Source organism: Homo sapiens, chromosome 14, assembly GCF_000001405.40.
Source record: "Homo sapiens chromosome 14, GRCh38.p14 Primary Assembly".
In the NCBI taxonomy this organism is placed as follows: Eukaryota; Metazoa; Chordata; class Mammalia; order Primates; family Hominidae; genus Homo; species Homo sapiens.
In genome coordinates, this window is record NC_000014.9 from 59,935,290 (window position 1) to 59,959,787 (window position 24,498).

The 24,498-nt window shown below is 37.2% G+C and overlaps 1 protein-coding gene across 19 annotated transcripts in view, besides 2 other annotated features; it reads left to right on the plus strand.

The window, feature by feature from the left end:
* Positions 1-24,498, plus strand: part of LRRC9 (leucine rich repeat containing 9) — a 147,105-nt gene that overhangs the window by 15,577 nt on the left and 107,030 nt on the right. For all 19 annotated transcript variants that reach the window (NR_075071.3, XR_002957549.2, XR_002957550.2 and 16 more), the window contains 2 exons: positions 3,101-3,283; positions 9,300-9,455. Coding sequence is in view for 16 of the 19 variants with exons in the window: in NM_001355272.3 (NP_001342201.1) it covers positions 3,101-3,283; positions 9,300-9,455 (339 nt within the window). In the remaining 3 variants the exon portion in view is untranslated. The remainder of the gene's footprint in view (positions 1-3,100; positions 3,284-9,299; positions 9,456-24,498) is intronic.
* Positions 4,540-4,589: an enhancer, noted in NCBI's record as "active region_8462". NCBI's record gives its function as "activates an Ori minimal core promoter by ATAC-STARR-seq in GM12878 lymphoblastoid cells {active_cell/tissue: GM12878}" and the evidence as "EXISTENCE:reporter gene assay evidence [ECO:0000049][PMID:35858748]".
* Positions 4,610-4,689: an enhancer, noted in NCBI's record as "active region_8463". NCBI's record gives its function as "activates an Ori minimal core promoter by ATAC-STARR-seq in GM12878 lymphoblastoid cells {active_cell/tissue: GM12878}" and the evidence as "EXISTENCE:reporter gene assay evidence [ECO:0000049][PMID:35858748]".

A 24,498-nucleotide genomic window follows, 5' to 3' on the forward strand; every position in this document is an offset into this window, starting at 1 on the left:
TCTCAAAAAAAAAAAAAAGATATAATTGTAATTGATAATAAATTGATAATATTTTATATAGTCAACATTTTATAAACATGTTACTCTGTGCTAGAAAGATAAGGATAAGATGGGCATTTATACGACATTGGTAATCATTAAAATGATAGAACTTTTCTAGAAAGCATTTAGATAATGTGTACCAAGTCCTTTAAAAAGGCTTCTATCCTTTGACCTATCAATTCCTCTTTTAGGAATCTATTCCAAGAAAATAATGTGAAATGTGCATAAAGCTTTATACTTAAAATAGGCTAAAATTCCAAAAGAGATCAGAGAGAGCTATGAACATTAAATTCAGAGTGCTGTGGGAACATATAAAAGGGAGACCTAGCCTTGTTTGGGATGTCAGGACAAGACATCCTTGAGGAGCTAATGTTACAGCTAATGATATCAGACGTGAGTAGGAGTTGCCCAGGCAAAGACCCTTCCAGGCAAAAGTTAGAGCATGTGTGGAGGCTCAAGGTGGTTGAAAGGGGTATGGCAGATTCTAGGAACTAGAAATACTGTGTGACTTGATCACAGCAAGGGAAGCAATTATGACATAAGGCTGAAGAAGATTAGTTCAGGGTTCTGGGAAAATAAGGCATTGCCCTGCCAAGAAACTATATGGAAGTTTAACTTACTCTGGCTAGCCATGGCACCCTTATGGTGGTTATAAGCCATGGCTGCATAGACAGAAAGACCTCTCAGGTCTTGCTCTGCCTCATACTAGAGGCAGCATAATACGGTGGAACATGAAGTTTTGGTGAAATAACAATGTAAAGTACCTAAATAGTGACCAGCACATAGTAAGGACTCAACAGATCCATTGTTTTTATTATTTTATTACCATTACTTTAATTACATTGAACTGCTGTATTTCAGTATCTTCATTTTAAAAATGATGATAGCAGGATTATTATAAAAATTCATTGTGTGACATAATATTTAAAAAGGCTTTTTATGGCATTATGACTATCATAAAAACATTGAACGTGATTCACAGGAAGTTTTACTATCTTCATATTAAAAATGTTCCTGGAACACTATTATCTTAGATTTTTATCTCTAACCTTTCCTCCTACCCTAAGAAGATAACTATCTTATCATGGTGGTGATTGAATCAATTCTGTGCCCACCTTCCAACCATACCAGGCACCAGAGCACTAATTTTCAGTGAGATTTTGTGCCTTTGTAAACTCCAGTGTCACCTGAATTTGGAATGTAGTTGGGGGATTTCTGTGTAGGACTTCAGAGTTTATACCCACCATCTGCTAGCTCAGACTAATGGTCAAATGAAACATAGCAACCCAGTAATCAAGTGGTTTACCTTCTTGCCCCTGCAGAATTTGACCAAATAATTCTCTGCACAGCTCTGTCCATAAATCTTCCTTTTAGAGCAACTCTGCTTAGTCCTCCTCCCTGCATAGGCTCAGCCCAAGCCTCAGGTCAGACCAGTGAGCCACATTCTCACTTGTCCAGAGAGAGTTTGGAAATACATTAACCGCCTCAACCTGTATTACTCTTGCTTCCAGCAACCTGACTTCACTATTCCCTTTTCCATTCCATTTTTACTGTAGCTTTAGACCTAATGCTTCCTAGTTCTTCCTTTGGATTTCCCTTAACTCTGATTCTGATTTTTCTAGCTAGCATTGCATCCTTTCAAGTTTGACCCCACCACAGTACCCTCCTACCTCAGGCACCATCCTGGTAATGAGAAAGGTATGAGGATATCCTCGAAGTTGGCTGAAAGTAATAATTAATTTACTTTACATATTTATTTAGTGCCTGCTGTGTTCTAAGTGCTGAGTGTTGAGAATACAATGTTAAACAAGACACAAACCTTGTTCTTCACAAGTTTATCACAGGGTTAGCAAATGTTTTCTGTAAAAAAAAAAAAAAAAAAAAAAAGCCAAATAGAAAATCTTTCAGGCTTTGTGGGCCACATGTAGCCTCTACTGCATATTCTTCTTTGTTTTTTTTGAATACTTAAAAAATGTAAATAACATTCTTTTTTTGTAGACTGGGGACCAAAGCCCATATAGACCCTTGGCTTATAGACACAAGCATTTGGCAATAGGGTATAATAAAATCCATACCAAAACTAAGCTCAGTGGCTAAAAGAGCTCATAGGAGGAACATCTATCCCAACGCTGGGGGATGAAACAAGGCTCCCAGGGAATATGACACTGGGTTGGGCTCTGACAGATTAAAAGGTAAAATTGGGGTGAAGTTCAGGCCACTCAAAAGGAGCAGCATGAGTAAAGGTCTAAGGACAAGATAGGGCTTGGCACATTCCAAAACTTCAATTGGTTCAATATGGCTAAATCATAAAATATTAGGGTTTAAACAGGAAGAGGCAAGACTGAAGAGTTAATCAAGAGCCAGATGACAAATAAAGGAAAGTATAAACAATGACTTAAACATCAGGATAAAATATGTTAAGGAGAAACATTGGACTGAGAGTGCATATCAATCCCTCCTCATCCATAGGTTGTGAGAAAACTGAGGCCCTCAAAAGAAAGTTAGGCTTTAGTTGACCATAATAGGTAAAACAGGTGTTTATGGAAAAAACAAAACAAACAAAAAAAACAAAAATCAGGAATTCCATGGTGACTGTAATGAACAGGGGATCCCATAGCCTTTAATGAGTAGAGCAGATCTGGAGGCAGCGAGGATGAAGAGGAGTGTTTCTAGGTGATAAGTACAGGAAATAGGGGTGAAGAAATCAGAGACCTACAGGTATCCTGGGGGCAATTAGCAAGAGGGGCTGTGTAGGGGAAGCAACTTATTAATGAATAAATGTGCTCACATCACTGGCTTCAAGGTTCCAGCTGGAATACATGATTTAGTAAATATTTAAAAGGCATAGTGGTGTAGCATGTTGTTTAATTATTGTTGATATTTTCTTCAGGAATTTAGCTTTTCAATAGAGAGAAACATTTTAGGCATCTAAATCACTTTAATGTATTTAAGCGCATAATTAGAATGCATTAGACTATGGCTGATCTTAGGTGTTCAAATACTGCCTTTAGAAATGACAGTCACAATTAACTGAACATTATCTTTGCTGGCATTTTAGGAACTCACGAACTTAACCAGGCTGCCTTGCTTAAAGGATTTATGTCTGAATGACCCTCAATATACAACCAATCCAGTTTGTCTTCTGTGTAATTATTCCACACATGTATTATATCATTTGCCTTGCCTTCAAAGATTTGACACATTGGATGTGTCAGCAAAGCAAATCAAGGAACTGGCAGATGTAAGTACATCCCTAATCAGGCATCTGTGATTTCAGTTTTATTAGTTAACGGCTTCTTTCTGGCCATGTCCACATACGGTAGGTAGGATTATCAGTTCAGTTCTTGTTGCCAAGTCTGCTTTTGCCCTAGTGAACTGGATATTACACATAAAAGTATATAAATAATAATATTAATACTAGAATCTTAATTTTGATGACAGTACTGGAAGGTGAAATAATAGAATAATAATGTTTCTAATCTATACAAAACAAGAAGGAAATTGAAAAAAAATCAGTGTTAAAAATAGACTAGTGCCATATATATATACACACATATATACACATATATATACATATATACACATATGCATATATATACACATATATACATATACATACATATATACACACATATATACATATATACATATATACACACATATATACATATACATATATACACATATATATATACATATATACACATATATACATATATACACATATATATACGTATATACACATATATACACATATATACATATATATACACACATATATATACATATATATAAATTAAAGCTTAAATAACAGAAATGTAACAACCACTTCTCCTTTGGAATATTACATATCAAAATTAGAAAATATCTATGGTTTATGGTAGTCTACCAAGGATTAGGTAGATTTTAATCTAATTAAAGATGGTTTGTGATTCTCTGAAAGTTTAAGTAGCTGAGGACATCAGGGGAAGAGAAGTAACAGATGAAGACAGGAGTGGTAGAGGCCAGATTATGTGAGACTGTAGACTGTTGTAAGGACTTTGGTCTTTACTTTGAGGAAGATGGGGTCCACTGGAAAATTCTGATCAGAGGAGGGACTAAGATGACTTATGTTTTAAAAGGATCCTTTTGAATAATGGATTAAGAATAGAGAGTTAGAGGGGGAAAGTTGAAAGCAGAGAGACCAGTTAGGAGATTATTCCAGTAACTTAGATGAGCCATGTGGATGGTTCGATGCATGTTCATAGAGAAAGTGGTAAGAAGTCAGATTCTGGTAGCAGTTACAAGATGGAACCTATATGGGTTTACTGATGGATTGAATATTAAGTACAGAGGAAAGAAGTAGAGAATAATTCCAAGATATTGGCAAGAGCAATTCAAAGAGTAAGTTGCTATTTGACGACATGAGGAAGAGTATGGGAGGTGTAGGTTTAGGAGGAAGAATCATGATTCTAGAATCATGATAACTTTAGGCATGTAAAGTTTGAACAATTTTTTGAATATCCTAGGGGACATGCTCAGTAAGTAGTTGGATATATGAGTCTACTATGTAGGAGAGTTTCCTAGATTGGGGGTATAAATTAAAATATGAGAATTGAAAGCAGAAAGTTGGTACTTAAAGCTGTGGACTGGATGAGTCACCGAGGGAATGGTATAGAAGAGAAAGTGTGTCACTTGGGTGTTAAATGTTGGGTAGAAGAGAAGGAGCCTGCAGAGGAGACTGAAAAGGAGAACTAAGAGAGGCAGGTTCATTCTGACTGAGATTCTCATACATTTGGTTCAGTCTTGTAAACGTCAGGAGTAGCATAAAGAACAAAAAAAGGAATTGTTAGACAGTTTCTGACATCTTAAATTAAGTCATTATATTTCATTTTCTTATCGTAAAATATTTATCCTCCCTTTACCTTTTAAGGCACAAATAGGATATATACTATAGTCCAACTTTTGATTCAGACCAAAATGATTTTCAAATTCAAAGTATTTTTAATTTATGGATTGATATAGATTTATAAAATGCTTTCTTCCCTACTATGCATGAGACAAATTGTGGCAGTTCTTTGTGATAAACTCTTGAACAGAGTGCTATTGATTCTTCAGATTTTCACCTATGACTGTGAACTAGTTTGTGTAAACTACAAGTGTCAGGTAAAGTCAGAACCTACCAGGAGGACCACCAAAGAGTTAGTGCAAGACAGAGGGAAGAACATATGGATTCAAATCAGAAGACTTGGATTCAAGCCCCCAACTGAATGTGCCACTACTGAAGAGCTCAGTTTTCTGAACTGAAACAAAGATGATGAAAATAGTATCTGCTTTTCAGTACAGGGTTGTTTTGGGGGAGCCAATGAGTTAATGTACATAAAAGCCCATTTTAATTGTTAAGTAGTATAAAAATAAGTGCTATGAAACTATAGTTGAATATAATTCTGTTTATGACTTTGAATTCTTTTTTGGCCACCTAAGATGCAAAGGGATCAAATTTTGTCTTAGTACAAACATGCAACTGAATTTAGCATTATAATTAGTCTAATTTCTTTTTCTTAAAAGTTTGTTTTAACAGGTGTGGAATTCTACCAAAGTCTTTGAACGTGACTTTGACATTAGTTTTTTAAAGTCCAAATACAAAAAGCAAGTTGCATGTGGTCAGCCTACAAAGTTGATTTGCTATATAGTTACAGTTTATAAAATAGTCTTCCCTCTTTCCCCAAAATCTTACTATATACTCTCAAACAAGGACAAAAAAAAAACCCTTATTGATAACTCTTATTTATTTTTATGACATACTAAGTGATTTTGAAAAAGTTTAGAAATAGTAAAATATCATAATTTTTGTTTCTATATGAAGATATAGGTACATACTTAATAAATTAGAAAAAGTTGAAACTATGGTAAGATATAGTAGACACTAAAATCAGTTGTTTTTTGTGGAAGATGGGGCAACTGAGAAGATGGGAAACATAAGTGGGAAGTACACTTTTCATTGTATAAATCAAATTTTTTGGTTTTTGAAATGTGAATATATTGCTTATTCAAAAAAATTAAAATAAAACTAGTATGTTTTAATCTTTTTTTTTATCCCACCTAGGGGGATTCCAAGTTAAATTTAAATTTTAGATAACCTATTAATAGATATTTAATAATAAAATATCTATTAAATTTTAGATAATAAAGATGTTTTGGGATAATTAAATAAGTATAAGTAAGTTTAGTAAGTATTATGTATATTAAAACATTATTTGTTGTTTATCTGAAATTCAAATTTAATTTGGCATCTTGTATTTTATCTGACCAAATTAACTCCATCCCAAGTTCTCTTGTTGTGTTATTTTTTCCCTTTTATTTACAGTTGATGCACAATAATTCTATGTATTCTATAGGATACCCAATGGTGTTCCAATACACATTTACAATGTATAATGATCAAATAAGGGTAATTACCATATTCATCTCCTCAAACATTTATTCTTTCTGTCGTGAACATCCAAAATCCCTTCTTCCAGATTTTTGAAAATATACACATTATAGTTAACCATATTCACCCTGCAGTGCTACAGAACACCAGAATTTATTCTTCCTATCTAGCTGTAATTTTGTACCCTTAACCAACCTTTCTCCCCATTCTTTCCTCCCCACTACCTTGCCTACAGCCTCCAATAGCTACAATTCTACTCTGTACTTCCATGAGCTCAAAAAATGTTTTTAGTTCTCATACGTGAGTGATAACATGCAGTCTTTATTTTTCTGTGCTTGACTTATTTCGCTTAACATAATGTCCTCCAGGCTCAACCATGTTGCCACAAATGACAGGATTTAATTCTTTTTTATGGTTAAATAGTATTCCATCATGTGTATACACATATGTGTGTGTGTAATGTGATATATATATATTACATTTTCTTTATCCATTCACCTGTTGATGGCATTTAGGTTAATTCTAAATCTTAGCTATTGTGAATAGTGCTGCAGTAAACGTGGGGGTGCAGGTATCCCTTTGATACACTGATTTCCTTTGTTTTGGATAAATACCCAGGAGTGAGATTGCTGAATCCTATGGAAGTTCTACTTTTAATTTTTTGAGAAAACGCCATCCTGTTTTTCATAGTGGCTGTACTAATTTACATTTCTACTACCAGCGTATGAGAGTTCCGTTTTCTGGGCCCAGGTGGGCGGATCACTTGAGGTCAGCAGTTTGTAACCAGCCTGGCCAACATGGTGAAACCCCATCTCTACTAAAAATACAATAAAAATTAGCCAGGCGTGGTGGCAGGTGCCTGTAATACCAGCTACTCAGGAGGCTGAGGCAGGAGAATCACTTGAACCCAGAAGGCAGAAGTTGCGGTGAGCCGATATCACACCACTGCACTTCAGCCTGGGTGACAGAGTGAGACTCCGTCTCAAAAAAAAGAGTTCCCTTTGCTCTGCATCCTCGCCAGCATCTCTCTCTCTCTTTTTTTTTTCTGTCTTTTTGATAATAGCCATTCTAACTAGGTGAGATTATATTGTGATTTTTATTTGCATTTCCATGATGGTTAGTTAGTGATGTTGAGCATTTTTTCATATACCTATTGGCCATTTGTATGGTCTGTTGAGAAATGTCTATGCAGTTCCTTTGCCCACCTTTTGGTTGGATTATTTGTGTGTGTGTGTTTCATTTGTGTGTGCGTATGTGTTGGTTTTTTTGTATTTTGTTTTTTTGCTGTTGAGTTGTTTGAGTTCGTTGTATATTCTGGATATAAGACCCTTATTGGATGAGTAGTTTGCAAATATTTTCTCCCTTCCATAGGTTGTCTCTTCACTCTGTTGATTGTTTCCTTTTGCTGTGCAGAAGCTTTTCAGTTTAATATAGTCCCATTTGTCTATTTATGTTTTTGTTGCCCATGCTTTTGAAGTATTTGCCTAGATCAATGTCCTGAAGTATTTTCTCTCTTTTCTTCTAGTAGTTTTATGGTTTCAAGTTTTACATTTAAGTCCATTTTTTGAGTTGATTTTTGTATATGTTGAGAGACAGGGGTCTAGTTTCATTCTTCTGTATGTGGATATCCTGTTGTTTTAGTTTTCAGAATTTATTAGAATTATTTTTAGCTGTCACTGACCCACAGAATTTTGTATTGGATTTCCTATTGTCTCCAAATAGGCAAGAAAAAAAAACAAGAAACACCATTTCCCATTTCTTAAGTTACGGTTTTTTCTTTTAACTCAGTTGCACTTCAGAAATTAAGCTTTTCTTTATCAGATATACTTAATCAGTTTATCATGATCCTAAAACAAACTTTTTTCTTAACTGTTCTTTGTTATAATTGTTTTATTTCTGGCAGGGGAATTTGGTGATTTCAGTTGCAGTACTTCATAATATGCATGGGGAAAGAGGATTATTTTGGCCTCTCATCATACTATGTATTTGTTCCTATTCTGTCTTTTATGCCAGATAATTATATTAGGATCTTGATTATCCACTCCATACTAAGTAAATTTCATAAGAAAAGACTGCATCTGTAGAAAATATATGTCTAAGAGTGTAAAAGCCTTCCAACTTATTCGCTTTCATTATTTCAGGTAAACAAAACCATGTCAGATTTTTTATAATGCCTCAAATTTGTTTATGGTCTCCTCAGATAGTTCTTTTTAACTAACATAACTCTCAAACACCATTTAGCTGTTGCATATCTTAATTATGGAATTAATCAATTTATCATGATAAATTTATTAATAACTGAATGATGCATTGTTATTAAGGAACGCAAGATAAATGGATTTGATAGACATTTAGTAATTTGCTCAGCCTAACATTCTTTTATACATTTGAAAAAAAATTATATTCCTTAGCCATGCTTTTAAAAAACGAATTGAGTAATGTTGTATTTGCTTTTAATTCTTATTAATTTATTTTATTCCCTGAGTTAATCAAATAGGAATAATGAGTTATATGTTTGCTCTAATTGTACTACCTCATTACCTACACTAGTTTATACATTAAATTTTATCTGTAGTCTCTTTTTGTTGTTATCCTGGAAATAAATGTGAATACGCCTCACACTTTATGCCTCACAAAGGAAATCTTTGGAATTTTATATTTTGTATTAAGTTTAAATATAGAACTCTGTGTAGCCATTGTCACTCCAGCTGTCATCATTATTAGTAACTAAGCATGCAAATCATCTAAATTGTTATATAGAACATACTGTATTTATATAATACCACTAACAATTGCCTATAATTTGTTTTAGCTAATTTTTTGTTGTTTTCTTTCTTACTTTTAGACCACAGCAATGAAAAAAATAATGTATTATAATATGCGTATAAAAACTCTTCAGAGGCATCTTAAAGAAGACCTTGAAAAACTGAATGATCAAAAATGCAAATTACAAAAGTTGCCAGAAGAACGAGTAAAATTATTCAGCTTTGTGAAGAAAACTGTAAGATTTAATAATGTAAAATCCCAGTGGCCATACCTTAAGAAAACCGTTAGATAAGATAGCAAGCAATATCTTTTAAATTATGTATATACACACATATATAATACACACACACACACACTCACACACACACACACACACATATGTAATTACTACTGAATTTCAAGTTAAGCTTGCCCCCAAAAAAGTTCTGATTCCAGGTACTTAACTAAGCTACATTCTGTGCTTAGAAATCTGCAATTCAAAAAAGGTATAGGCTTATTAAATTATGAATTTTGTTTAAAAAAACTGTGTATTTCAATATGATTTAGAGTGTTACAAAAATTATTAGACTTATTCAGCTGTGTTTTTATTAGATGCCAGTAGGCTGTGCTCAAAATTCATTTTCTTGTTTAAAGTGCTAAAAAAAAAAAAACCCTTTCCTAATAACACTAAGGTATACAACAAAGTGGGAACTTTAAATCAAGCTATATGTTAGTAGTATGTATGCATTTTTATTTAGAATAAATTGGATTTCTTTTACTAAAAGTAGACCCTGAAAAAGTAAGCATTATTTAACTCAAAACGGAATCTTGTATATATAGTAATTCCTGTATTTTTTTCAGTATGAGGAAATAATGGATTATTCAACAAATGGTGTTACAAAAATAGTCAAACTATTTGGGAGCTGGAGAGTTGGCTCCTTCATTTGCACTTTACCAAATGTAAATACCAGTAGGAAAAAAAAGAATTAAATGTAAAAATGAAAACATGAAAAATTGAAGAATAAATATATAGATGGATATATTTATCTGATCTCAGCCTGCTAAATGAAAGAAATACTAGAAATCACAAAGGAATAAAATGTAGAATTGATTTTTTAAAAACCAGTGAAATGCTTTTGTATTTAAAATAATAAATGTAAACAACAAATGAAAATCTGAAAAAATGTCTTCAACAAACATGATGGACAAAGAGTCAATATCCTTAGTATAAAAAGGTGCTCATATGTAAAACAAAATAAAAGGTAAATGTCTAAATAGAAAAATTGAGCAAAGTACATAAACTAGAATTTTACAAGAGTAGAAATAAAAATGACTAATAAGCATTTGAAAGAACTCAATTTGATGATTAACTTCCAAATGTTAATTAAGATAACAAGAAACTGTTTCACCTATAAACTGTCAAAGTATGACACATGACAGTACTCAGGCTGGTGAAGATGGATGTGACACACTAGATACCACTTATGGAAGTGTAACTTTGGTCATATGTATAACAGCATAAAAATGCTGAGTTTTTGACCCAGTAAATCTACTTCTAGCACTCTATTGTAAATATGTATATAAAAGGATATATATAAAAATATTTATATATCATTGCACTATTAATAATTAAAAAATTGGAAACTATCTAAATGTTTAATAAGAGAAGAGTTATATACTCAAGACAGAATAGTGTGTAGCTATTAATATTAAAAACCAAGGTTTTGAAATATATTTAATGCTTTTTTAAAGTGAGCAGTTCTTATTATAATTAGAAAAATATTCTTAAAGTAAAACATTAATAAAATTTAATTAAAATTAAAATTAATAATAAAAAAGATTATTTCCATAAAAATCACAAGAGATCAATAAATGGATATCATTTTATATCTGCTATTTTCATGTGCAAATGCATGTATTAAGTAAAATCTGCAAATGAGAAAAATAATGGCTATAGATATATACAAATATATATATTTTAATGAATATGCTTAATCTATTTTCTTTTTTTTTGTCTTTTTTTTTTTTAAATTATACTTTAAGTTTTAGGGTACATGTGCACATTGTGCAGGTTAGTTACATATGTATACATGTGCCATGCTGGTGCGCTGCACCCACTAACTCGTCATCTAGCATTAGGTATATCTCCCAGTGCTATCCCTCCCCCCTCCCCACTCCTCACCACAGTCCCCAGAGTGTGATATTCCCCTTCCTGTGTCCATGTGATCTCATTGTTCAATTCCCACCTATGAGTGAGAATATGCGGTGTTTGGTTTTTTCTTCTTGCGATAGTTTACTGAGAATGATGGTTTCCAATTTCATCCATGTCCCTACAAAGGACATGAACTCATCATTTTTTATGGCTGCATAGTATTCCATGGTGTATATGTGCCACATTTTCTTAATCCAGTCTATCATTGTTGGACATTTGGGTTGGTTCCAAGTCTTTGCTATTGTGAATAATGCCGCAATAAACATACGTGTGCATGTGTCTTTATAGCAGCATGATTTATAGTCCTTTGGGTATATATCCAGTAATGGGATGGCTGGGTCAAATGGTATTTCTAGTTCTAGATCCCTGAGGAATCGCCACACTGACTTCCACAATGGTTGAACTAGTTTACAGTCCCACCAACAGTGTAAAAGTGTTCTTATTTCTCCACATCCTCTCCAGCACCTGTTGTTTCCTGACTTTTTAATGATCACCATTCTAACTGGTGTGAGATGATATCTCATAGTGGTTTTGATTTGCATTTCTCTGATGGCCAGTGATGATGAGCATTTTTTCATGTGTTTTTTGGCTGCATAAATGTCTTCTTTTGAGAAGTGTCTGTTCATGTCCTTCGCCCACTTTTTGATGGGGTTGTTTGTTTTTTTCTTGTAAATTTGTTTGAGTTCATTGTAGATTCTGGATATTAGCCCTTTGTCAGATGAGTAGGTTGCAAAAATTTTCTCCCATGTTGTAGGTTGCCTGTTCACTCTAATGGTAGTTTCTTTTGCTGTGCAGAAGCTCTTTACTTTAATTAGATCCCATTTGTCAATTTTGGCTTTTGTTGCCATTGCTTTTGGTGTTTTGGACATGAAGTCCTTGCCCACGCCTATGTCCTGAATGGTAATGCCTAGGTTTTCTTCTAGGGTTCTTATGGTTTTAGGTCTAACGTTTAAATCTTTAATCCATCTTGAATTGATTTTTGTATAAGGTGTAAGGAAGGGATCCAGTTTCAGCTTTCTACATATGGCTAGCCAGTTTTCCCAGCACCATTTATTAAATAGGGAATCCTTTCCCCATTGCTTGTTTTTCTCAGGTTTGTCAAAGATCAGATAGTTGTAGGTAAGCGGCGTTATTTCTGAGGGCTCTGTTCTGTTCCATTGATCTATGTCTCTGTTTTGGTACCAGTACCATGCTGTTTTGGTTACTGTAGCCTTGTAGTATAGTTTGAAGTCAGGTAGTGTGATGCCTCCAGCTTTGTTCTTTTGGCTTCAGATTGACTTGGCGATGCAGGCTCTTTTTTGGTTCCATATGAACTTTAAAGTAGTTTTTTCCAATTCTGTGAAGAAAGTCATTGGTAGCTTGATGGGGATGGTATTGAATCTGTAAATTACCTTGGGCAGTATGGCCATTTTCACGATATTGATTCTTCCTACCCATGAGCATGGAATGTTCTTCCATTTGTTTGTATCCTCTTTTATTTCCTTGAGCAGTGGTTTGTAGTTCTCCTTGAAGAGGTCCTTCACATCCCTTGTAAGTTGGATTCCTAGGTATTTTATTCTCTTTGAAGCAATTGTGAATGGGAGTTCACTCATGATTTGGCTCTCTGTTTGTCTGTTGTTGGTGTATAGGAATGCTTGTGATTTTTGTACATTAATTTTGTATCCTGAGACTTTGCTGAAGTTGCTTATCAGCTTAAGGAGATTTTGGGCTGAGACGATGGGGTTTTCTAGATAAACAATCATGTCATCTGCAAACAGGGACAATTTGACTTCCTCTTTTCCTAATTGAATACCCTTTATTTCTTTCTCCTGCCTGATTGCCCTGGCCAGAACTTCCAACACTATGTTGAATAGGAGTGGTGAGAGAGGGCATCCCTGTCTTGTGCCAGTTTTCAAAGGGAATGCTTCCAGTTTTTGCCCATTCAGTATGATATTGGCTGTGGGTTTGTCATAGATAGCTCTTATTATTTTGAAATACGTCCCATCAATACCTAATTTATTGAGAGTTTTTAGCATGAAGGGTTGTTGAATTTTGTCAAAGGCTTTTTCTGCATCTATTGAGATAATCATGTGGTTTTTGTCTTTGGCTCTGTTTATATGCTGGATTACATTTATTGATTTGCGTATATTGAACCAGCCTTGCATCCCAGGGATGAAGCCCACTTGATCATGGTGGATAAGCTTTTTGATGTGCTGCTGGATTCGGTTTGCCAGTATTTTATTGAGGATTTTTGCATCAATGTTCATCAAGGATATTGGTCTAAACTTCTCTTTTTTGGTTGTGTCTCTGCCCGGCTTTGGTATCAGAATGATGCTGGCCTCATAAAATGAGTTAGGGAGGATTCCCTCTTTTTCTATTGATTGGAATAGTTTCAGAAGGAATGGTACCAGTTCCTCCTTGTACCTCTGGTAGAATTCGGCTGTGAATCCATCTGGTCCTGGACTCTTTTTGGTTGGTAAACTATTGATTATTGCCACAATTTCAGCTCCTGTTATTGGTCTATTCAGAGATTCAACTTCTTCCTGGTTTAGTCTTGAGAGAGTGTATGTGTCGAGGAATTTATCCATTTATTCTAGATTTTCTAGTTAATTGCGTAGAGGTGTTTGTAGTATTCTCTGATGGTAGTTTGTATTTCTGTGGGATCGGTGATGATATCCCCTTTATCATTTTTTATTGTGTCTATTTGATTCTTCTCTCTTTTTTTCTTTATTAGTCTTGCTAGCGGTCTATCAATTTTGTTGATCCTTTCAAAAAACCAGCTCCTGGATTCATTGATTTTTTGAAGGGTTTTTTGTGTCTCTATTTCCTTCAGTTCTGCTCTGATTTTAGTTATTTCTTGCCTTCTGCTAGCTTTTGAATGTGTTTGCTCTTGCTTTTAATTGTGATGTTAGGGTGTCAATTTTGGATCTTTCCTGCTTTCTCTTGTGGGCATTTAGTGCTATAAATTTCCCTCTACACACTGCTTTGAATGCGTCCCAGAGATTCTGGTATGTTGTGTCTTTGTTCTCGTTGGTTTCAAAGAACTCTTTATTTCTGCCTTCATTTCGTTATGTACCCAGTAGTCATTCAGGAGCAGGTTGTTCAGTTTCCATATAGTTGAGCGGCTTTGAGTGAGATTCTTAATCCTGAGTTCTAGTTTGATTGCACTGTGGTCTGAGAGATAGTTTGTTATAATTTCTGTTCTTTTACATTTGCTGAGGAGAGCTTTACTTCCAACTATGTGGTCAATTTTGGAATAGGTGTGGTGTGGTGCTGAAAAAAATGTATATTCTGTTGATTTGGGGTGGAGAGTTCTGTAGATGTCTATTAGGTCCGCTTGGTGCAGAGCTGAGTTCAATTCCTGGGTATCCTTGTTGACTTTCTGTCTCGTTGATCTGTCTAATGTTGACAGTGGGGTGTTAAAGTCTCCCATTATTAATGTGTGGGAGTCTAAGTCTCTTTGTAGGTCACTCAGGACTTGCTTTATGAATCTGGGTGTTCCTGTATTGGGTGCATATATATTTAGGATAGTTAGCTCCTCTTGTTGAATTGATCCCTTTACCATTATGTAATGGCCTTCTTTGTCTCTTTTGATCTTTGTTGGTTTAAAGTCTGTTTTATCAGAGACTAGGATTGCAACCCCTGCCTTTTTTTGTTTTCCATTTGCTTGGTAGATCTTCCTCCATCCTTTTATTTTGAGCCTATGTGTGTCTCTGCACGTGAGATGGGTTTCCTGAATACAGCACACTGATGGGTCTTGACTCTTTATCCAACTTGCCAGTCTGTGTCTTTTAATTGGAGAATTTAGTCCATTTACATTTAAAGTTAATATTGTTATGTGTGAATTTGATCCTGTCATTATGATGTTAGCTGGTGATTTTGCTCGTTAGTTGATGCAGTTTCTTCCTAGTCTCGATGGTCTTTACATTTTGGCATGATTTTGCAGCGGCTGGTACCAGTTGTTCCTTTCCATGTTTAGCGCTTCCTTCAGGAGCTCTTTTAGGGCAGGCCTGGTGGTGACAAAATCGGTCAGCATTTGCTTGTCTGTAAAGTATTTTATTTCTCCTTCACTTATGAAGCTTAGTTTGGCTGGATATGAAATTCTGGGTTGAAAATTCTTTTCTTTAAGAATGTTGAATATTGGCCCCCACTCTCTTCTGGCTTGTAGGGTTTCTGCCGAGAGATCTGCTGTTAGTCTGATGGGCTTCCCTTTGAGGGTAACCCGACCTTTCTCTCTGGCTGCCCTTAACATTTTTTCCTTCATTTCAACTTTGGTGAATCTGACAATTATGTGTCTTGGAGTTGCTCTTCTCGAGGAGTATCTTTGTGGCGTTCTCTGTATTTCCTGAATCTGAACGTTGGCCTGCCTTGCTGGATTGGGGAAGTTCTCCTGGATAATATCCTGCAGAGTGTTTTCCAACTTGGTTCCATTCTCCGCATCACTTTCAGGTACACCAATCAGACGTAGATTTGGTCTTTTCACATAGTCCCATATTTCTTGGAGGCTTTGCTCATTTCTTTTTATTCTTTTTTCTCTAAACTTCCCTTCTCACTTCATTTCATTCATTTCATCTTCCATTGCTGATACCCTTTCTTCCAGTTGATCGCATCGGCTCCTGAGGCTTCTGCATTCTTCACGTAGTTCTCGAGCCTTGGTTTTCAGCTCCATCAGCTCCTTTAAGCACTTCTCTGTATTGGTTATTCTAGTTATACATTCTTCTAAATTTTTTTCAAAGTTTTCAACTTCTTTGACTTTGGTTTGAATGTCCTCCCGTAGCTCAGAGTAATTTGATCGTCTGAAGCCTTCTTCTCTCAGCTCGTCAAAATCATTCTCCATCCAGCTTTGTTCCGTTGCTGGTGAGGAACTGCGTTCCTTTGGAGGATGAGAGGCGCTCTGCGTTTTAGAGTTTCCAGTTTTTCTGTTCTGTTTTTTCCCCATCTTTGTGGTTTTATCTACTTTTGGTCTTTGATGATGGTGATGTACAGATGGGTTTTCGGTGTGGATGTCCTTTCTGTTTGTTAGTTTTCCTTCTAACAGACAGGACCCTCAGCTGCAGGTCTGTTGGAATACCCTGCTGTGTGAGGTGTCAGTGTGCCCCTGCTGGGGGGTAGGCCTCCCAGTTAGGCTGCTCGGGGGTCAGGGGTCAGGGACCCACTTGAGGAGGCAGTCTGCCCGTTCTCAGATCTCCAGCTGCGTTCTGGGAGAACCACTGCTCTCTTCAAAGCTGTCAGACAGGGACATTTAAGTCTGCAGAGATTACTGCTGTCTTTTTGTTTGTCTGTGCCCTGCCCCCAGAGGTGGAGCCTACAGAGGCAGGCAGGCCTCCTTGAGCTGTGGTGGGCTCCACCCAGTTCGAGCTTCCCGGCTGCTTTGTTTACCTAAGCAAGCCTGGGCAATGGCAGGCGCCCCTCCCCCAGCCTCGCTGCCGCCTTGCAGTTTGATCTCAGACTGCTGTGCTAGCAATCAGCGAGATTCCGTGGGCGTAGGACCCTCCGAGCCAGGTGTGGGATATAGTCTCGTGGTGCGCCGTTTTTTAAGCCGGTCTGAAAAGCGCAATATTCGGGTGGGAGTGACCCGATTTTCCAGGTGCGTCCGTCACGCCTTTCTTTGACTCGGAAAGGGAACTCCCTGACCCCTTGCGCTTCCCAGGTGAGGCAATGCCTCGCCTTGCTTCGGCTCGCGCACGGTGCGCGCACCCACTGGCCTGCGCCCACTGTCTGGCACTCCCTAGTGAGATGAACCGGGTACCTCAGATGGAAATGCAGAAATCACCCGTCTTCTGCGTCGCTCACGCTGGGAGCTGTAGACCAGAGCTGTTCCTATTCGGCCATCTTGGCTCCTCCAATCTATTTTCTAACAGCTGGATATATCTATTATAGAGGAGTACAGATAACTATTAAATTTCCACTTATATATATTTTCCCTTATAGAGTACAATTTATCTGTTGTTGTTATTGTTGTTGTTGTTGCTTTTATTTTCCTTTAAATTCTGGGATACATGTGCAAACATGCAGGTTTGTTACATAGGTATACATTTGACATGATAGTTTGCTGCACCTATCAACCTGTCATCTAGGTTTTAAGCCCCGCATGCATTAGGTATTTGTCCTAATGCTCTCCCTCCCCTTGCCCCCCACCTCGCAACAGGACCTGGTGTGTGATGTTCCCCTCCCTGTGTCCAAGTGTTTTCATTGTTCAGCTCCCACTTGTGAGTGAGAAAATGTGGTGTTTGGTTTTCTGTTCCTGTGTTAGTTTGCTGAGAGTGATGGCTTCCAGCTTCATCCATGTCCCTGCAAAGGACATGAGCTCATTCTCTTTAATGGCTGCATAATACTCCATGGTGTATATGTGCCACATTTTCTTTATCCAGTCTATCACTGATGGGCATTTGTGTTGGTTCCAAGCCTTTGCTATTGTAAATAGTGCTGCAATAAACATACATGTGCATGTGTCTTTATAGTAGAATGATTTCTAATCCTTTGGGTGTATACCCAGTAATGGGATTGCTGGGTCAAATGTTATTTCTGGTTCTAGATGTTTGAGGAAACGTCACACTGTCTTCCACAATGGTTGAACTAATTTACACTCCCACCAACAGTGTAAAACTGTTCTTATTTCTCCACATCCTCTCCAGCATCTGTTGTTTCCTGACTTTTTAATAATCACCACTCTAACAGGTATGAGATGGTATCTCATTGTGGTTTTGATTTGCATTTCTCTAATGACCAGTGATGATGAGCTTTTTTTCATATGTTTGTTGGTGGCATAAATGTCTTCTTTTGAGAAGTGTCTGTTCGTATCCTTCTTGTAAATTTGTTTGCAAATTTGTAAATTTTTTCTTGTAAATTTGTTTAAATTCCTTTAAGATTCTAGGTATTAGACCTCTGTCAGATGGGTATCTTGCAAAAATTTTCTCCCATTCTGTAGGTGGCCTGTTCAATCTGATGATAGTTCCTTTTGCTGTGCAGAAGCTCTTTAGTTTTATTAGATCCCATTTGTCAATTTTGACTTTTGTTGCTGTTGCTTTTGGTGTTTTAGTCATGAAGTCTTTGCCCATGCTTATGTCCTGCATGGTATTGCCTAGGTTTTCTTCTAGGGTTTTTATGGTTTTGGGTTTTACATTTAAGTCTTTGATTCATCTTGAGTTACATTTTGTATAAGGCTTAAGGAAGGGGTCCAGTTTCTGTTTTCTGCATATGGCTAGCCAGTTTTCTCAGCACCATTTATTAAATAGGGAATCCCTTCCCCATTGCTTGTTTTTGTCAGGTTAGTCAAAGATCAGATGATTGAAGATATGTGGTGCTATTTCTGAGGTCTCTCTTCTGTTCCATTGGTCTATATATCCATTTTGGTACCAGTACCATGCTGTTCTGGTTACTGTAGCCTTGCAGTATAGTTTGAAGTCAGGTAGCATGATGCCTTCAGCTTTATTCTTCTTCCTTAGAATTGTTTTGGCTATACAGGCTCCTTTTTGGTTCCATATGAAATTTAAAGTAGTTTGTTTCTAATTCTGTGAAGAAAGCCAATGGTAGCTTGATGGGAATAGCACTGAATCTATAAATTTCTTTGGGGAGTATGACCATTTTCACGATATTGATTCTTCCTATCCATGAGCATGGAATGTTTTTCCATTTTTTTTGTGTCCTCTCTTATTTCCTTGAGCAGTGGTTTGTAGTTCTTGAAGAGGTCCTTCATGTCTCTTATAAGTTGTATTCCTAGGTATTTTATTCTCTTTCTAGCAATTGTGAATGGGAGTTCACTCATGATTTGGCTCTCTGCTTATCTATTATTGGTGTATAGGAATGCTTGTGATTTTTGTACATTGATTTTATATCCTGAGACTTTGCTGAAGTTGCTTATCAGCTTAAGGAGTTTTGGGCTGAGAATATGGGATTTTCTAAATATACAATCATGTCATCTGCAAACAGAGACAATTTGACTTCCTGTCTTCCTATTTGAATACACTTTATTTTTTTCTCTTGCCTGATTTCCCTGAATAGAACTTCCAATACTATGTTGAATAGGAGTGGTGAGAGGGGGCATCCTTATCTTCTACAACACTTCCAGCTTTTGCCCATTCAGTATGATATTGGCTGTGGGTTTGTCATAAATAGCTCTTATTATTTTGAGATATGTTCCAGCAATACCTAGTTTATTGAGAGTTTTTAACATGAAGGGCTGTTGAATTTTATCAAAGGCCTTTTCTGCATCTATTGAGATAATCATGGTTTTTGTCATTGGTTATGTTTATGTGATGGATTATGTGTATTGATTTGCTTATGTTGAACCGGCCTTGCATCCCAGGGATGAGCTGACTTGATCGTGGTGGATAAACTTTTTGATGTGCTGCTGGATTTGGTTTGCCAGTATTTTATTGAGGATTTTTGCATCAATGTTCATCAGGGTTATTGGCCTGATATTTTCTTTTTTTGTTGTGTCTCTGCCAGGTTTTGGTATCAGGATGATGCTGGCCTCATAAAATGAGTTAGGGAGGAGTCCCTCTTTTTCTATTGTTTGGAATAGTTTCAGAAGGAATGGTACCAGTTCCTCTTTGTACCTCTGATAGAATGTGGCTGTCAATCCATCAGGTCCTGGACTTCTTTTGATTGGTAGGATATTAATGACTGCCTCAATTTCAGAACTTGTTATTGGTCTTTTCATGGATTCAACTTCTTTCTGGTTTAGTCTTGGGAGGGTGTATGTGTCCAGGAATTTTTCCATTTCTTCTAGATTTTCTAGTTTAGTTGTGTAAAGGTGTTTGTAGTATTCTCTGATGGTAGTTTGTATTTCTGTGGGATCAATGGTGATATCCCCTTTATCATTTTTATTGTTCTATTTGATTCTTCTCTCTTTTCTTCTTTATTAGTCTAGCTAGTGGTCTGTCTATGTTGTTGATCTTTTCAAAAAACCAGCTCTGGGATTCATTGATTTTTTTGAAGGGTTTTTCATGTCTCTACCTCCTTCAGTTCTGCTCTGATCTTAGTTATTTGCCTTCTGCTAGCTTTTGAATTTGTTTGCTCTTGTTTCTATAGTTCTCTTAATTGTGATGTTAGGGTGTCGATTTTAGATCTTTCTAGCTTTCTGTTGTGAGCATTTAGTGCTATAAATTTCCCTCTTAACACTGCTGTAGCTGTGTCCCAGAGATTCTGGTACGTTGTCTCTTTGTTCTCATTGGTTTCAAAGAACTTCTTTATTTCTGTCTTAATTTTGTTATTTTCCCAGTATTATTCAGGAGCAGGTTGTCAATTTCCATATTTTTGTGTGGGTTTTAAGTGAGTTACTTAATCCTGAGTTCTATTTTAATTGCACTGTGGTCTGAGGAACTGTTTGTTATGATTTCCATTCATTTGCATTTGCTCAGGAGTATTTTACTTCCAATTATGTGGTCGATTTTAGAATATGTGCTGTGTGTTGCTGAGAAGAATATATATTCTTGATTTGGGGTGGAGAGTTCTGTAAATGCCTATTATGTCTGCTTGGTACAGAGCTAAGTTCAAGTCCTGAATATCCTTGTTAACTTCCTGTCTTGTTGATCTGTCTAATGTGACAGTGGGGTGTTAAGGTCTCCCACTATTATTGTGTGAGTGTCTAAGTCTCTTTGTAGATCTCTAAGATCTTATTTTATGAATCTGGGTGCTCCTGTATTGGGTGCATATATATTTAGGACAGTTTGCTCTTCTTGTTGCATTGATCCCTTTACCATTATGTAATACCCTTCTTTGTCTTTTTTGATCTTTGCTGGTGTAAAGCCTCTTTTATCAGAGACTAGGATTGCAAATCCTGCTTCTTTTTTACTTTCCATTTGCTTGGTAAATATTCCTCCATCCCTTTATTTTGAGCCTATGTGTGTCTTTGCACGTGAGAGGGGTCTCCTGAATACAGAACAGCAATGGGTCTTTACTCTTTATCCAATTTGCCAGTCTGTGCCTTTTAATTGGGGCATTTAGCCCATTTACATTTAAGGTTAATATTGTTATGTGTGAATTTGATCCTGTCATCATGATGCTAGCTGGTTATTTTGCACATTAATTTATGCAGTTTCTTCATGGTGTCATTGGTCTTTATATTTTGTTATGTTTTTGCTGTGGATGGTACTGGTTTTTCCTTTCTCTATTTAGTGCTTCCTCTTGTAAGGCAGGCCTGGTGGTGACAAAATCCCTCAACGTTTGCTTGTCTGTAAAGGATTTTATTTCTCCTTCGCTTATGAAGCTTAGTTTGGCTGGATACAAAATTCTGAGTTGAAAATTCTTTTCTTTAAGAATGTTGAATATTGGCCCTCACTCTCTTCTGGCTTGTAGGGTTTCTGCAGAGAGATCAGCTGTTAGTCTGATGGGCTTCCCTTTGTAGGTAACCTGACCTTTCTCTCTGGCTGCCCTTAACATTTTTTCCTTTGTTTCAACCTTGGAGAATCTCACGATGTGTCTTGGGGCTGCTCTTCTCGAGGAGTATCTTAATGGTGTTCTCTGTATTTCCTGAATGTGAATATTGGCCTGTCTTGCTAGGGTGAGGAAGTTCTCCTGGATAATATCCTGAAGTGTGTTTTCCAACTTGGTTGCATTCTCCCCATCACTTTCAGGGACCCCAATCAACCAGAGATTTGGTATTTTCACATAGTCCCATATTTCTTGGAGGCTTTGTTCATTCCTTTTCATTCTTTTTGCTCTAATCTTGTCTTCATGCCTTATTTCAGTAAGTTGATCTTCAATCTCTGATATCCTTTATTCTGCTTGATAGATTTCAGCTATGGATACTTGTGTATGCTTCATGAAGTTCTTATGCTGTGTTTTTCAGCTCCATCAGGTCATTTATGTTCTTCTCTAAACTGGTTATTCTAGTTAGCAGTTCCTGTAACCTTTTATCAATGTTCTTAGCTTCCTTGCATTGGGTTAGAACTTGCTCCTTTAGCTCTGAGGAGTTTGTTATTACCCACCTTCTGAAGCCTACTTCTATTAATTCATCAGTCTCATTCTCTGTTCAGTTTTGTGCTGTTGCTGGAGAGGAGTTGCGATCATTTGGAGGAGAAGAGGCATTCTGGTTTTTGGAATTTTCAGCGTTTTTGTGCTGGTTTTTCCTCATCTTCATGGATTTATTTACCTTTGATCTTTGAGGCTGATGACCTTTGGATGGGGTTTTGTGTGGGGGTCCTTTATGTTCATCTTGATCTTGTTGCTTTCTGTTTGTTAGTTTTTCTTCTAACAGGCCCCTCTTCTGCAGGTCTGCTGCAGTTTGCTGGAGGTCAACTCCAGACCCTGTTCACTTGGGTATCAGCAGTGGAGGCTGCAGAATAGCAAAGATTGCTGCCTGCTCCTTCCTCTGGAAGCTTCATCCTGAAGGAGCACTGGCCTGATGCCAACCAGAGCTCTCCTGTATGAGGTGTCTGTCGACCCCTGTTGGGGTATGTCTCCCAGTCAGGAGGCACGGGGGTCAGGAACCCACTTGAGCAGGCAGTCTGTCCCTTAGCAGAGCTGGTGCACTGTGCTGGGCGAATCCCTCTTGTCAGGATTAGCTGCTCTCTTCAGAGCTGGCAGGCAGGAACGATTAAATCTGCTGCAGCTGTGCCCACAGCCACCCCTTCCACCAGGTGCTCTGTCCCAGGGAAGTGGGGTTTTTGTGTGTAAACCCCTTACTGGGGCTGTTACCTTTCCTTGAGAGATGCCCTGCCCAGTGAGGAGGAATCTAGAGAAGCAGTCTGACCACAGCTGCTTTGCCACCGGGCCCAGACCTCCCAAACTCCTTAGCACTGTCAGGGAAAAACCACCTACTAAAGCCTCAGTAATGGTGGACACCCCTGCCCCAACCAAGCTCAATCGACCCAGGTCGACTTCAGACTGCTGTGCTGGCAGCGAGAATTTCAAGCTAGTGGTTCTTAGCTTGCTGGGCTCTGTGGGAGTGGGACCCGCTGAGCAAGACCACTTGGCTCCCTGGCTTCAGTCCGCTTTGCAGGGGAGTGAAAGGTTCTCTCTCGCTGGGGTTCCAGGTTACCCTGCGGTACGAAAAAATACTCCTGCAGCTAGCTCAGTGTCTGCCCAAACAGCCACCCAGTTTTGTGCTTGAAACACAGAGCCCTGGTGGTATAGGCACACGAGGGAATCTCCTGATCTGCAGATTGCAAAAACGGTGGGAAAAGCATAGTAACCCGGCTGGGTAGCACAGTCCCTCACAGCTTACCTTGGCTGGGGGAGGGAGGTCCCTGCTCCTTGCACTTCCTGGGTGATGTGACACCCCACCCTGCTTCTGCTCACCCTCTGTGGGTTGGACCCACTGTCTAACCAGTCTCACTGAGATGAACAGGGTACCTCAGTTGGAAATGCAGTAATCACCCACCTTCTGCATTGGTCTCACTGGAAGCTTAAGACCAGAGATGTTTCTATTCAGCCATCTTGGCCCCTCCTCAGTACAATTTATCTTTAAATTACATAAGGCTGAGATTAGAGTTAGACAAAAGAGGTTCTTGCTGTGGGCCCAGAATTTAAGGGAGTACCCAAAAACCTTAAGTAATCAAGATAAATAATATTCCATGCAACATTTTTAAAATATCCAAATTAATGCAAAAAGTTCATTATGATAAATTTAAAAACCCCAAAATAACAAAATCTTAAGACCAGTGCTGTGCTGAGTCATGTAAGAGACTAAAACAAAAGGAAAAATGTGCACCCCTATATATATGCTTTCGTGTAATTTTAATAGTTATTTTTTTCCAGAACACCAAAGTGGTGAAAAATACTGAAAAATTGAAAAGTATGTGTGTTAAAAATTACATTATTTGAATTTTAAATATTTGTACTAAAATCAGTATTTATTTTAATTTTACTTTGGCTTTAATAGAGGCGAACTTATTAAAAAGATTTGAAAATCTGTTGCTTTGCTTATTTTCAATTGGGAGACTGCCCTATTTGAAGTGGTTAAGGTCGGCACTTGGTCAAGAGAAACTGGCTGACTGAATTTGCACCCAACTTGAAATCACATGTTTGGCATGTTTTTATGACATCTGGCCTGTTTATTACCTAGATTTCCACTTTGTTCATTTAAATTAGACATTTGTTTAATAGATCCCATTAAAACTTAACATCTGAATTCCGACTTTGCCTAGACCATGTTTTATTTTTA